Source organism: Homo sapiens, chromosome 14 (genome assembly GCF_000001405.40).
Source record: "Homo sapiens chromosome 14, GRCh38.p14 Primary Assembly".
Lineage (NCBI taxonomy): Eukaryota > Metazoa > Chordata > Mammalia > Primates > Hominidae > Homo > Homo sapiens.
The window spans coordinates 103,009,321-103,023,609 of NC_000014.9; the positions used below are offsets into that span (position 1 = coordinate 103,009,321).

Here is a 14,289-nt window from a genome sequence, read left to right on the forward strand (position 1 = left end):
ACATTCTGCGTGCCAGAGACGGTGTTGAGCCGCGCATCCGCACCCCCACTTCACCCTCACAGCGACCCCAGCTGCGGGGGATTTCTAAAATCCATCTTGTACAGATATGGACTCTGAGGCTCCAAGGGAACAAGACCAAGGAGGGAATCCAAGAAGCAAAGGCCGCATGGAAAGGACAGGCTCCCTTCAATCAGAGGAGCTCAAAAAGCGATCAATGTTATCTTCTTTGAAACTCACACAAAACTGAGTTTTGCATTAAGTTTTTGGCAAAAAAGAGTACTAAAAATAACCGTAAACCATTCTGTTAAAACAATTTTCTCTCTCATTCCTTCATTTCCCTTGGTCGTCTCTCTGCCCTGGTGTGCCTCTCCCTCCCTCCTAAATGCATTCTGGAAAGTCCTGCCATGGCTGAAGGGCTCTGTGTGGCCTGGGCCCTGCTCACCTCCAAAGCCCCCATGCCTGGCACAGCTCAATGCTTGGTAGCAGACAGACAGGCAATCACTTAATGCAATCTGTTTTTACTTTTAAAAGGCTTTCTCAACTAGGTACAGTGGCTCATGCCTATAATCCCAGCACTCTTGAAGGTGGAGGCAGGACAATCACTTGTGCCCAGGAGTTTGAGACTAGCCTGGGCAACATAGCAAGATCCCTGTCTCTACTAAAAAGAAAAAAAGAAAACAACTAGCCAGGTACAGTGGTGCATGCCTGTGGTCCCAGCTACTTGGGAGGCTGGGGCGGGAGGGTTGCTTGAGCCCAGGAGTTCAAGATCAGTCTGGGCAACATAGTGACACCCCATTTCTACAAATAATAAAAAAAATTAGCCGGGCGTGGTGGCACATGCCTGTAGTCACAACTACTCAGGAGGCTGAGGAAGAAGGGTCACCTGAGCCTGGGTGGTGGAGGCTGCAGTGAGCTGTGATCATGCCAGCACACTCCAGCCTGGGCGACAGAGCAAGACCCTATCTCAAACAAAATAAACAAACTCTCTGTCCCATCCTGGCCTGTGGTAAATTGACTTTGGCTGGTGAGGCCTGGATCCAGGGTCTGTACTGAGATAAACTGGGAGCTCCGGGCACGATGGGACGAGCCTTGCAGGGGCTGCTCTCCTCCCCTATCCCTCTGGTGAGACTCACTCATGGGGATGGTGCTGCGAGAGGGGGGCTATTTCCCTAAAGTACTGATTTGCCTTCTTTCACGTCTGCACACTGGAAAATGCACGCCCTGCACAGCAAAGGCCATCTCGCTTTGTAGTGGTGTCCAGTAGGTTTGCTGTGGGCAGAGCACACCTGCTGCTGGGATGTGACACAGGGCGTTTCCTTGTTTGATTTTTCCTCAGTGAACCAAAAGGCACAGTTCCCCAGCCAAGGAGAGCTTAGATCAAACCTCAGCATAGGTGCTAAGGCACTGCACAGTTTAAGAAGCAAAACTTGGCCAGGCGCGGTGGCTCACGCCTGTAATCCCAGCACTTTGGGAGGCTGAGATGGGCGGATCACGAGGTCAGGAGATCAAGACCATCCTGGCTAACACGGTGAAACCCCATCTCTACTAAAAATACAAAAAATTAGCTGGCCTGGTGGCGGGCACCTGTGGTCCCAGCTACTCGGGAGGCTGAGGCAGGAGAATGGCATGAAGCCAGGAGGCAGAGCTTGCAGTGAGCGGAGATCGCACCACTGCACTCCAGCCTGGGTGACACAGCGAGACTCCATCTCAAAAAACAAAAAAAGCAGCAGCAAAGCTCTTCCGGTGACTCACTGTCAAACCACCCGAGGCGGTACCGCGGCCGCTGAGGGAGCCTGACCTCTCCCTTGGTCTTGGCAGAACTGTTCTGCAAGGCCGAGGCAGGTCTGTGGAGATGGCCTGGAAGGCGAGGCCACACCGTGCCACGGGCCTCCTGGGGCAGGGCTCCCAGCCCCATACAAGGGACCTGGTGAGCCTCTCCAGCTGCACCTGCATGACTGGCCCTCCTCCCCTAGGCAAAGCCAACCGGACCCAGAGCCACACCGCGTGTGTCAACAGCAAGCAAGTACAGAGCATGAAAACAGCTGCTATTCGACCCTCTCTGTGTTTTTTAGAAAATGCCAAGAAGTCAAAATTCAATTAACAAATGGAGTTTTAGAAACTACGTCAGAAGGCTGGGCGTGGTGACTCACACCTGTAATCCCAGCACTTTGGGAGGCTGGGCGGGGCATCTGGGCAGGTGGATCACTTGAGGCCAGGAGTTTGAGACCAGCCTGGCCAACATGGCAAAACCTCATCTCTACAAAAAATACAAAAATTAGCTAGGCACAGTGTCAGCACCTGTAGTCCCAGCTACTCGGAAGGCTGAGGCATGAGGATAGCTTGAACCCAGAAGGCAAAGGTTGCCGTTAGCCAAGATCGCGCCACTGCACTCCAGCCTGGGTGACAGTGCAAGACGTCCATCTCAAAAACAAAAACAAAAAAAACTACATCTGAAGAAACTATTTTTGGTCCCAACAATCTCCCAGGTCAGTCAGAAGCTTTCGAGTCTCCTTTCTCTTCATTCTATCTTTCAGATTTTCTCCCCAGCTCCTTGGGAGGCCGAGGCGGGGAGATCACTTGAGCCCAGGAGTTCAAAGCCAGCCTGGGCAACATGGTGAGACCTCATCTTAGAAAGAGAGAGAGGAAAAAACAAACTCTCCAAATAATACTAATTACCTCATCCCCAAACCAATGTATAGGTGCACAAAAAGGTGAAATGGAAGCTGCTGATGTTTTGGCAATTTAGGCAAAGTTAACAAAATGAAGTTTATCTTACCTCACCAAAAGCACCTCTTCCAATTACTTTAATTATTTCAAAGTCTTCTCGATGAAGCTGCATTTCTTTCACCAGCTGTGTAAATGGTTTAGCTACAAGTAAAACAGTAAAACCAACAATTTAGTCTAATCAGTTCATACTATATAAAAATTTAATTGAGTGGGGTGTTGCACTAAGTTATACTTTTAAAAAAGTTTGTTTGAAAATATTTAATATCTGACATGTTTTGGAAAGTGAGCACTTATACCAATGGACACAGATGTGGATCCTGAGCAACTGCAGCCACGCACTGGGTAACACTGTTGCAGCCACGCACTGGGTAACACTGTTGCAGCCGACGACGGACCACATACAGAACAGTGATCCCACAAGATTTATACTACTGTATTTTTACCAAATCTTTCCTATGTTTAGATACATAAATATGGCCAGGCGCGGTGGCTCATGGCTGTAATCCCAGCACCTTACGAGGCTGAGGCAGGAGGATCACCTGAGGTCAAGAGTTCGAAACCAGTCAGACCAACATGGTGAAATCTCGTCTCTACTAAAAATACAAAAATTAGCCGGATGTTGTGGCGGGTGACTGTAATCTCAGCTACTCAGGAGGCTGACACAAGAGAATCGTTTGAACCTAGGCGCCGGAGGTTACAATGAGCCAAGATCGTGCCACTGCACTCCAGTCTGGGCAACAAAGCAAGACTCCATCTCAGAAAAATAAATAAATAAAAATAGACACACAAAAACCACTGTGCTACAGCTGCCTACAGTGTTCGGAACTGTCGCACGCTGCACAGGTGTGTAACCCAGGAGCAGTAGGTTGTGCCACATGGCCTAGGTGTGGAGTAGGTTTTGCCATCTGAGTCTGTGACGTGCTGTTGTCATGTTCGCACAATGACAAAAACCACCTAACCATGCATTTCTCAGGAGGTATCCCCATCGTTATGCAACACACAACAGTATACTTCAGTATCTATCATAGCAAACATCATCACACAAAAGTCTCCTAGTCAAAGCCAATAGGTGAACACCTATCGAGAGAGCAACTGATGGGTGCCCAAAGCCCACGTACAGGACACAAGTGCGTGAGGTGAGTGAGAGCTGAGCTCCACCTGCCTGCACGCAGGAGCCACGGGGCAGCTCAGGGAACACAAGACATTCTCCAAGGCAACACAAGTGCTGGAGTCTCCCTGGACACCCATGGCGGTCCCGAATAGGTCCTGTGGCGTCTGTAACAGTAATGTCCACCAGTCAGGCACCTTACACTGCTCTTCCCGGCCTCCTCACGCGGACTCTCTGAGACTAATTCTGTTATTATCCACACTTCACAGATGAGAAAACTCAGCCAGGTTTCTGTGGGCACTGTACTGGGCTGGATAGTGTCCCCAGCAAAACTCATGTCTGCTCAGAACCTGTGACTGTAACCTCATTTGGAAACGGTCCTTACAGACGTAACCAAGTGAAAATAATGGCACCTGCTGGAATAGGGTAGGCCCTAAGTCCAACAAGACTGGTGTCCTTCTAAAAGGAGAGAAGTCAGACTCAGACAGAGGTAAAAAGAGCCAAGTGGGGATGGAGGCAGAGGCGAGAGTGATGCGGCCGCACACAAGGAGCGCCAAGCATTGCCAGCACCCCCAGAAGCTGAGCGTTCCCCGGAGCCTGCGAGGGACATGGCCTGGCTGACGCCCTGCCTCTGGACTTCTGGCCTCCAGAGCTGTGAGATAAATATCTGTTGTTTAAGCCCCCCACTTTGTGGCAACTGGTTACATCCCCCACAAGAAGCTCCTAGAGGCCAGGCGCAGTGGCTCACACCTGTAATCCCGGCACTTTGGGAGGCCGAGGCGGGCGGATCACGAGGTCAGGAGATCAAGACCATCCTGGCTAACACGGTGAAACCCTGTCTCTACTAAAAATACAAAAAATTTAGCTGGGCGTGGTGGCGGGCGCCTGCGGTCCCAGTTACTCGCGAGGCTGAGGCAGGAGAATGGCGTGAACCTGGGAGGTGGAGCTTGCAGTAAGCCGAGATCGTGCCACTGCACTCTAGCCTGGGCGACACAGCGAGACTCCGTCTCAAAAAAAAAAAAAAAAAAAAAGCTCCTAGAGAGAGGTCAGGTCAACTCTTCCCAGGAACACAGAGCACAAGGCAAGGCCAGGACTGGAGCCCACACTGTCTGACTCCAGACCAGCTCGTGCCCGCCATGTATCCTGCCAGTCTGGCATCCGTGCAGTCAATTGTCTCTCTTGCACCTGTCTCTATTTTCACCTTCAAGCCCAAATCTGCATGTTTTATGCTAGGTTTTTTTTTGTTCTATCTGGTTCTTTTTCAAATTATCTATCACTACAGTTTTATGAAAGGTGCCTCTGGGGGAACTGAGTGAAGTGCACAGGGCCCTCTCTGTCCTATTTCTTACCACTGCAGGAGTGGCTACAATTAGCTCCAAAACACATGCGATCTGACACTTCCTGGGCTTCTGACTGAGTTCCATATTATTAATCTGACTAATCCTGTGGGTTTTTTCTCCTTTAATAGTTGCTCAACACCACTGAGGTTCGATCACCACAACTGCAAGAGCCACAGAAGGTTCCAGGGGCCTGGGAGACAGTGAGTTATGAACAATGGCCCCCATCACAGCAAATACACATCAGCAGAGATCAGGAAACAGAACAAATGAGTCCTGAGTTATTAAAAAAGAAAGAAAGGCCAGGCTGAAGAAAACCCTTGAGCTGCACTCCAGCCTGGGCGACAGAGTGACACTCTATCTGAAAAACAAAACAAAACAAAAAACAGTGAAGACAAAGACAGATGAGACGCAGGAAGCAGTTCGCACCAAGGCTGTGCCCGGAACGTCCTCTCTTTTCTTTCCACATTAATTACTCTCAAGTCACCCGGGCTTCCTTGTCAAGTTTCCCCCTACTCTTTTGATAAAACACATTTTGTTAATTACGTAGTTTAATAGTTGTGTACACATTTCCCTAAAGCGGGCAGACACAGATGATGGTGGCCAGGCTGGAAGTGGGAGGAACTTCGAGGCAAGCCTGGGGTGAAGGCTTGGAGAGGCAAAACCACAAAAGCAAAGCAGCAGGGGACCTGTGTGCAGGCAGGAGCAAGTTCCCAAATCAGAGGGCAAAGGAGAAAAGGGCCCAGAAGGAAAAGCCTAAGAAAAACATTATTTCTCAGAAATACCAAATATTTTCAAACTGCTCCGAGAACACTAACAATTTTGTACTGGTGTATAAAAATAATTAGGCTGGGCATGGTGACACGCGGCTGTAATCCCAGCTACTCAGGAGGCTGAGGCAGGAGAATCGCTTGAACCCTGGAGGCAGAGGCTGCAGTGAGCCAAGATCTCGCCACTGCACTCCAGCCTGGGCAACAAGAGCAAAACTCCATTTCAAAAACAGAAACAATAAACATAATTAAGACCGCATTAGCTACAACTAGAAAGGAAAGCCGCATCACAGTAGCAGAGCACCCTGCTAACCACACAGGTACTGAGAGCAGGGGACAGAACATTTAACATGAATAACTGCCAACTAGGTTACTAAGATGGAAATACCACATGGAGGTGGCAAATGCAGGAAGCACCTTCTGCCATTAGGATCAGGAAATTAAAGAAGAGGCTGGAATTTTTATTTGAGACAGAGTCTAGCTTTGTTGCCAGGCTGGAGTGCAGTAACAATCTCAGCTCACTGCAACCTCCGCCTCCTGGGTTCAAGCGATTCTCCTGCTTCAGCCTCCCGAGTAGCCGGGATTACAGGCACGTGCCACCACACCCAGCTAATTTTTGTATTTTTTTTTTTTTTAGTAGAGACAGGGTTTCACTATGTTACCCAGGATGGTCTCGATCTCCTGACCTCGTGATCCGCCCACCTCGACCTCCCAAAGTGCTGGGATTACAGGCGTGAGCCACTGCGCCCGGCCGAGGCTGGAATTTTTAAAACTTAGAAACCTGGACAAAGGGCCCTGTAAAACTGAAACTCAGACCCCTGAGGATGGGGTGCTGCTGGCCGGCACTGGGTCTCTGAGCTCAAAGGCAGCCCCACAGGCTGGGTCCCCAGTGACTGGAAGGAGTGCAGCCAGCTGACGCTGGGCTCTCTGAGGTGACTGTGGCAGGGCTGTTCTGCTGGCGTGGGGAAAACTCCAAACTGGCACCAGTGGCCGACTGCCAGAAGGAACTTCGCTGCCAGGATGGTACTGCTAGGGTGTCACTCTAGGAGGGAGCGGGCAGGAAGCTGCAAGTCGTCCTCCCGCCTCCCAGCCTTGTAGTCTCCCTCCAGCACCTGCTTCAGGCAGAGCTCAACAGGGAGTGGGGGGGTCAGAGCTCCCCAGGATTGGCTGGGGTGTGGGGTGGAGTGAGGAGGACATCAGTGCCGGTGAAGCAGGTGAGGGGAGGGAACCAGGTGAGGGGAGGGAACCAGGTGAGGGGAGGGAACCAGGTGAGGGGAGGGAACCAGGTGAGGGGAGGGAACCAGGTGAGGGAGGGTGGTCCTCTTGTTACCTACAGGAGGACTGATCAGATAAGCAACATTCAGGATGATGGGGCTGGGTTCCTCACTGTCCAAGTGAGGAGTTATAGATAAGGAAGAAAACGAGAATAAACCGTACAACACTGGGATAGAATTGGGTTATTGGTATGAACTTGCAGCTTCAATATAGACAGACAGATACAGGGATAAACACAGCCATATATGGGTGTGAACATACAGAGTCCTAGCTCTGTCTACCGAAGAGTATCCGGAAGCAGCAGCAGTTCAGCTACAAGCACACCCAGTGTGGACCATGGTCTCTAAAGACCATTCTCCAACATAGGACAGGGCTCCTCAGGCAGCTCCAGAGCTGGGTCAGGAAACCGCAAGGTGAGCCTGCAGCAGCCGGTGCCCAGAAGTGAGAGTGTGCTCAAAATGAACACAAGCAGTCACAGATCATAATCTATTCAATAAAACAGGGCTGGGTGCGGTGGCTCATGCCTGGAATCCCAGCACTTTGGGAGGCTGAGGCAAGAGGACTGCTTGAGCCCAGGAGTTCAAGACCAGCCTGGGCAACATGACAAGACTCTATCTCTACAAAAAATAAAATCATGAACCAGGGTGTAGCGGCACACACCTGTGGTTCTAGCTCCTCTCAAGGTGGAGGCGAGAGATCGCTGGAGCCCGGGAGGTGGAGGCTGCAGTGAGCTGTGTTTGCACCACTGCACTCCAGGCTGGACAACAGTGAGAACTTGTCTCAAAACAAAAACAAAAAACACCAGGAAATCAGGAGTCCACACTGATATTAACATATAAAATTTAAAAATCTGATGAAAAATGGGATATTTATATAGTTTCAAAGTACATCCAAACAAAATACCTATCAATTACGCAGGGAAAATGGTGACTTTACAGTGAAGTCAGGCAGACATCACCTGAAATCAAGCAATCAGAGCGGCCAGCATCAGTTACGTGATGAGACGCAACCGCACATCCCACAGGACACGAGGGGGAAACCATAGCCTCACTTCTGTGATTTTCCTGCAAAGATCCACAACCCAAATCCAACCACCGGGAAACACCAGGCAAACCTAAACTGAAGAACAGTCTCCAAACTGTCAGCCTGAAACCTTCAGCAGTGTCGAGGTCATGAAAGTCAAGGAAAGACACAGAACTGATCACACAGAAAGGAACAAGGTCATGGTGTGTGTGGCTCTGCAGCAAACCCTTCCTTCTGCTACAGAGCAGAGTACCAGAAAATCCGCAATGCTTCAGTGGAATCTGAAGGTTAGATACAGCAATGTATCAATGCTACATTCCTGATTGTGTTGGTTACACCGTGGTTATGTAGAATATCCCTGTCTGCAGGAAATACATGCTAAAGCAGTGGTCCCAACCTTTTTGGCACCAGGGGCCACTTTCATGGAAGACAATTTTTCCACAGACCCGTAGGGGGGTGGAGGAGGTGAGGTGATGGTTTTGGGATGAAACTGTCCCACCCTGGATCATCAGGCACTGGACTCTCATAAGCAGCATGCAACATAGATCCCTCAAATACACAGTTCACAATAGGGTTCGTGCTCCTATGAGAATCTAATGCCACGCTGATCTGACCGGAGGTAGAGCTCAGGTGGGAATGCTCACTCATCTCCTGCCGTGGAGTCTGGTTCCTAACAGACCATGGAGCTGTCCGTGGCCTGGGGGTTGGGGATCCCTGTGGTAAAGTATTCAATGGCAAACAGCTGGGGGAGGAGAGTTCTTCTGTTATTTGCAACTTTTCTGAAGTTTCAAACTATTTCAAAAATGTTTTAAAAATACTTTTAGAAGTTCATTTGTTGCTATTTGGAAAACTTAGAGGGGCAAGGAGGGAGGGCCCACTGGATACAGCCACCACCGCCCCATTAAGATAACAATGGTGGCTTAGAAATGAATGGGACAGTGGTCCTGGAACAGAGGAGGAAGTCGCATCGATAGTGTTGGAACTAGAGTGGATTGTGGCATGGGATGAGCAAAGAAGATTCCAGGATGTGCACTAGGTTTCTAGCCACAGCAGCTTGATGAATGGGGTGCTACACACCAAAGCAGGAGAGGCCAGGAGAGCAGCAGGTTGGGGTGAGGAGGGGAGTAGGGCCTGGGGCAACGGAATCCAATTACATCACGTAGTTAGTGCTACAGTCTGAAATCGTGAAGAGACCATCTCAAAAAATTGATTTTTCTTACAGGACCCTACTGCTGTTTTATATTTTCAAAAAGTGATCACTTCGAAACCACCAGCTTCCATGGGGATGGGGAGAGGTGAGGCGTGAGAAGTGGGAGAACCAGCCTGTTGTGAGGCAACTAGAGACAGACACAGCTTCCAGGGAGGATGCAGGCCATTCGGTTTTTTGGTTTGTTTGTTTTTGAGACAGGGTTTTGCTCTGTCGACCAGGCTGGAGTGCAGTGGAGTGATCACAGCTCACTGCAGCCTCCACTTCCCAGGCTCAGGGGATCTTCCCACCTTGGCCTCCCCAGTAGCTGGGACCACAGGCATGCTCCCATGCCAGCTAATTCTTTTTTAGAGACGGGGTCTTGCTGTATTGTCCAGGCTGGTCTAGAACTCCTGGGCTCAAGTGATCCTCCCGCCTTGGCCTCCCAAAGTGATGGAATTACAGGGGTGGGCTACCACACCTGGCCATCCTGAAATATGCTAAGGCCCTAGAGACACGGCCGCCCTGCAGCTCAGAAGCTGGGCCAGGCTAACCAGCCAGCACTCACAAGGCTCCAAGTTGCAGCAACTGGGAGGCTACTGTCCACCACGCCTTGCATTGCCCACACCATCACCCACAGCGTCAGCCATGGCACCTGGGCATCATCTCAGACTTCTCCTGAAGAGCCCGTAGCCCTCACCCAGCACAAAGCCACCTCTTCCTGCCCGTCTTCCTCACCAGGCTCTAAGGCAGGGTTGATCGCTGCTCCCCTGGACCTGCCACGCTGACAGGACTCCTTCAGCACAGCTGCCTGTGTCTATGGCATGTGGCAACTGACATTCACGAGGAGTCATCACCAAAGGGCGGCCTTCTCTACACAGGGGGTTCGCACCCCTCCTAAGATAAGGACATTCAACATCTTGGGAGATTTTCCATCCAAAAGGCTGAATAAAGCTTTAGCCTTTAGACAGCTTAACTTTTACTGGAGAAATTTTCTCCTCATCAATCTCTTCATTCCTCCTACCCCGAACTGTCCCCTAAAGAACTTCTCTTGATGCTCTAGAAAACAATGGATTAATCAATCAAGTGTAACCACCGACAAATATGAGATCTAAACTGTAAGGCAAAATGGAGCCCAGTGCTCCCTTTAAATAGGAAAAGCTTTGCCAAGAAGAACTGCAGGCGGAGGGAGGATCTTTGTCTAAAACTGACAGAAAACCATTGTGAAATCAAACAAGATGAGACCAGCTGGAAGGAGTGCCCAGGGTGGGAGGGTCTGAGGAAAGAGGACGGTGTCAAGAGCTGAAGCCTGAGGCAGGCGGGCAGGAAGTCCTGCTTTCCCCTGTCCGGCAGAAGCTCTCCGCCTCCCCCTGGATGGTTCTGTTCATCCGTGCCACCCTGACTGTTTGGGCCTCAGCTGCTTTGTGGCCACAATCAATACATTTGGAATTGGAAAGAGTCTGACAGGTTATCCATTACGAATAATACCTTTTACCAATGAAGGTGAACAGGGCCCCAATGGCCAAGCAACATGCAGAGGACACAAGGGACAGACGTCTCGCCCCCGAGTCGTCAACTCCACCCACAGCGTGGTTCTCTCCTGAGGTCCTCTCCTTGTAACCGCCAGCTACCACTCCGTCCCTTCAAGAGATGGCAGGACCCACACCTGCCTGGAGCAGCACCTCCACAGCTGCTGGAGCGCGGGGGCAGCTGCAGGGGAGGCACCTACCGACGGCCCAGCAAGACCTACGCGGAGGCCGAGGGCCAGAGGCCAGGCTAGAGAAGGTATGGATGTGTGCGAGGGCCCAGGCACACTGACGCGCTATGCATCCGGACCTCCTGCAGAGAGAGAAGGGGCCAGAGCAGCACCCCAGGGACCAAGGAGTGCAGCCACAGTGGACGGGGCACATGCTGAACCCCCGTGAGAGAGAGAGCACAGGGCGTGTGCCAGGAGTCAGCGCCTTGGCCCGCACGTGGCAGGGAATGCAGGCGCCTTCACAGGACCACCCTGGAGAGAGTTCACAGCTCCAAAGGCTTGGAATTTATTCTTACGGTTCAGACGGCTGACGCAGCTACGGAAGATTAGTACCTATCACAAAGTTTTAGAAAAATGTGTTCAAATTACACAAAATGTGTTTTCTTTGTTTCACAATAACTAAGCTCTTTTGTAAGATGTCAGAATACTGCCTTTGCAAGGAGCCAGCCACAGACCCCTCTCATCAGGAATCACGAGTCTGAGAAAAGTGACTCTTCCCACAAGCCCTCTTAACCCCAAATACAGTTCTCTAAATAGGAGCTCTAGCTGATATAGGAGCACAGGCTGATAACCAGGAAGTATAACGCTGTAAAAAGAACAACCATTAAATTTTAACTTAATGCAACTTGAGACTTTAGAGGATTAAAAAGGGAGCCCTTTAAGAACACGTGGATGTGGCCGCGTGCAGTGGCTCACACCTGTAATCCCAGCACTTTGGGAGGCCGAGGCGAGTGGATCACGAGGTCAGGAGATCGAGACCATCCTGGCTAACACAGTGAAACCCCGTCTCTACTAAAAATATTTTTTAAAAAAATTAGCCAGGCGTGGTGGCGGGCACCTGTAGTCCCAGCTACTTGGGAGGCTGAGGCAGGAGAATGGCGTGAACCTGGGAGGCGGAGCTTGCAGTGAGCTGAGATCGCGCCACTGCACTCCAGCCTGGGTGACAGAGTGAGACTGTCTCAAAAAAAAAAAGACATCAAGGCCATCCTGGCCAACATGGTGAAACCCCATCTCTGCTAAAAATACAAAAATTAGCTGGGCATGGTGGCGCGTGCCTGCAGTCCCAGCTACTTGGGAGGCTGAGGCAGAATCGCTTGAATCCAGGAGGCAGAGGTTGCAGTGACCCGAGATCGTGCCACTGCACTCCAGCCTGGGCAACAAAGCAAGACCTAGTCTCAAAAAAAAAAAAAAAAGAACATTCAGATGCAAAAGACAGGAAGACAAGTGAGACCACAGATTGAGTCTGAGAAAACCTGAGGAGCGGGGTGGGCCAGAGCGGGGGTCGTGTGGTACAGGCGGGGATCATGTGGTGCAGGCGATAGCAGTCTGGTCAGAAGCAGCGGTGAGATCCTGGCTGTTCCTGAAAGTGAGACGAGCGGATTTCCTGCTGGATGGGGCGTGCAGGTTGACACTCGCACAGAGCACTGGCCAAGCACTAGGACGCTGGAGTTGCCTGCATGGGAAGGCTGACAGAGGCTGGTGGGCTGAGTGGCAGGGAAGCAGCTGGACAGGTGATGCAGTTCCAGAGAGAAGCCCAAGGTGCCCAGTGTACAGCTGGTATCGGATGAGATCACCAGGAAGTCAGCAGAGAGAGGGGAGGGGCCAAGGACAGAACCCTGGGGGGCTTCGACATGAGGTGGCTGCGGGGAAGAGAAGCCAGCAGGGTGCAGAGAAAGCCAGGACTTCCATCCTGGAAGGTGGATGACAACCAGGAATTACCTACTGGCTTTTGCCACGTGGAGACCACAGGTGGCCTTGACAAAAGCAGCAGTTTTGAGGGAGGCAGGGGACAGAAGTCTGATTGGCCTTTTGAGAATGAGAGAGGTGGGGTGGAGACAGAAGAGAGAACCCTGAAGAGTTCTTGTTGCTGTTGTTTTTGAGACAGGGTTTCACTCTGTCGGCAGCCTGGAGCACAGTGATGCCATCACGGCTCACTGCAGCCTCCACCTCCTGGGCTCAACGGATCCTCCCAGTCTCCCAAGCAGCTGGGACTACAGGCACATGCCACCACGCCCGGGAGATGTTTGAAATCATTTTCACCAAAGTGTTTTGTTTAAAAAACAAAACAAACAAAAACACCACTCATCTTGGCATAGACGGAAAGCTGGCCCATTCCCCACGGGTGCTCACATCACACTCGTCAACTGATCCAGCTGTTAGGGGGCAGGGTATCACCCAGAGATCACAGAGGCTGGAGACAAGTTCATTCTCACTGGCTTAAGTGTTAACAATAAACCATAAATTAAATTCTAGGGTGACAAAATAAACGCCCCAAGCTTCAATAAGCAATTGTGAGAACACAGCCAATTCCTTGAAACGAACATTATTGGTGCTTGCTGCATCTGTGCCTCCACCCAGTCAGTAGGGGGTGTTTCTCTGGAATGGGCTCACCCACCCCCCTCAGGCTCCCACTGCACCAGTCCACACCAGTTCTCTTAAGAACTGTTCATTTACACACCATGAAAAAAGCAGCAACCCACAGATATAGCTATTTTTTTTCTTTTCTTTTCCTTTTCTTTTTTTTTTTGAGGCAGGGTCCCCCAGGCTGGAGAGCAGCAGTGGCGTGATCACGGCTCACTCCCTGCAGCCTTATCTCCTGGGCTCAAGTGATTCTCCCCTCAGTCTCCCGAGTAGCAGACTACAGGTGCGCATTATCATGTGGCTAATTTTTTTTTTTTTTTTTGAGATGGAGTCTCACTCCATCACCCAGGCTGGAGTGCACTGGCGCGATCTCGGCTCACTGCAACCTCTGCCTCTCGGGTTCAAGCATTTCTCCTGTCTCAGCCTCCCGAGTAGCTGGGATTACAGGTGCCTGCCACCATGCCTGGCTACTTTTTCTATTTTTAGTAGAGACGGGTTTCACCTTCTTGGTCAGGCTGGTCTCAAACTCCTCACCTCAGGTGATCCACCTGCCTTGGCCTCCCAAAGTGCTGGGATTACAGGGATGAGCCACCATGCCTGGCAGTGGCTAATTTTTTATTTTTTGTAGACACGGGGTCTTGCTATGTTGCCCAGACTGGTTTCAAACTCCTGGGCTACAGTAATCTTCCCACCTTGGCCTTCCAAAGTGTTGGAATTACAGGCATGAACCACTATACCTGATCCTA

The 14,289-nt window shown here is 50.8% G+C and overlaps 1 protein-coding gene across 8 annotated transcripts in view, besides 2 other annotated features; it reads right to left on the reverse strand.

The window, feature by feature from the left end:
- Window positions 1–14,289, reverse strand: part of CDC42BPB (CDC42 binding protein kinase beta) — a 125,170-nt gene that overhangs the window by 76,941 nt on the left and 33,940 nt on the right. For all 8 annotated transcript variants that reach the window (NM_001411054.1, NM_006035.4, XM_005268228.2 and 5 more), the window contains exon 2: window positions 2,777–2,868. In NM_001411054.1, the coding sequence (NP_001397983.1) occupies window positions 2,777–2,868 (92 nt within the window). The remainder of the gene's footprint in view (window positions 1–2,776; window positions 2,869–14,289) is intronic.
- Window positions 10,610–11,165: an enhancer, noted in NCBI's record as "H3K27ac-H3K4me1 hESC enhancer chr14:103486267-103486822 (GRCh37/hg19 assembly coordinates)". NCBI's record gives its function as "activates a minimal SCP1, AML or CMV promoter by ChIP-STARR-seq in primed H9 embryonic stem cells {active_cell/tissue: H9 hESC(primed)}" and the evidence as "EXISTENCE:reporter gene assay evidence [ECO:0000049][PMID:30033119]".
- Window positions 13,975–14,242: a silencer, noted in NCBI's record as "fragment chr14:103489632-103489899 (GRCh37/hg19 assembly coordinates)". NCBI's record gives its function as "represses an EF-1alpha promoter that drives an FKBP-Casp9 reporter gene in an ReSE screen in HepG2 liver carcinoma cells {active_cell/tissue: HepG2}" and the evidence as "EXISTENCE:reporter gene assay evidence [ECO:0000049][PMID:32094911]".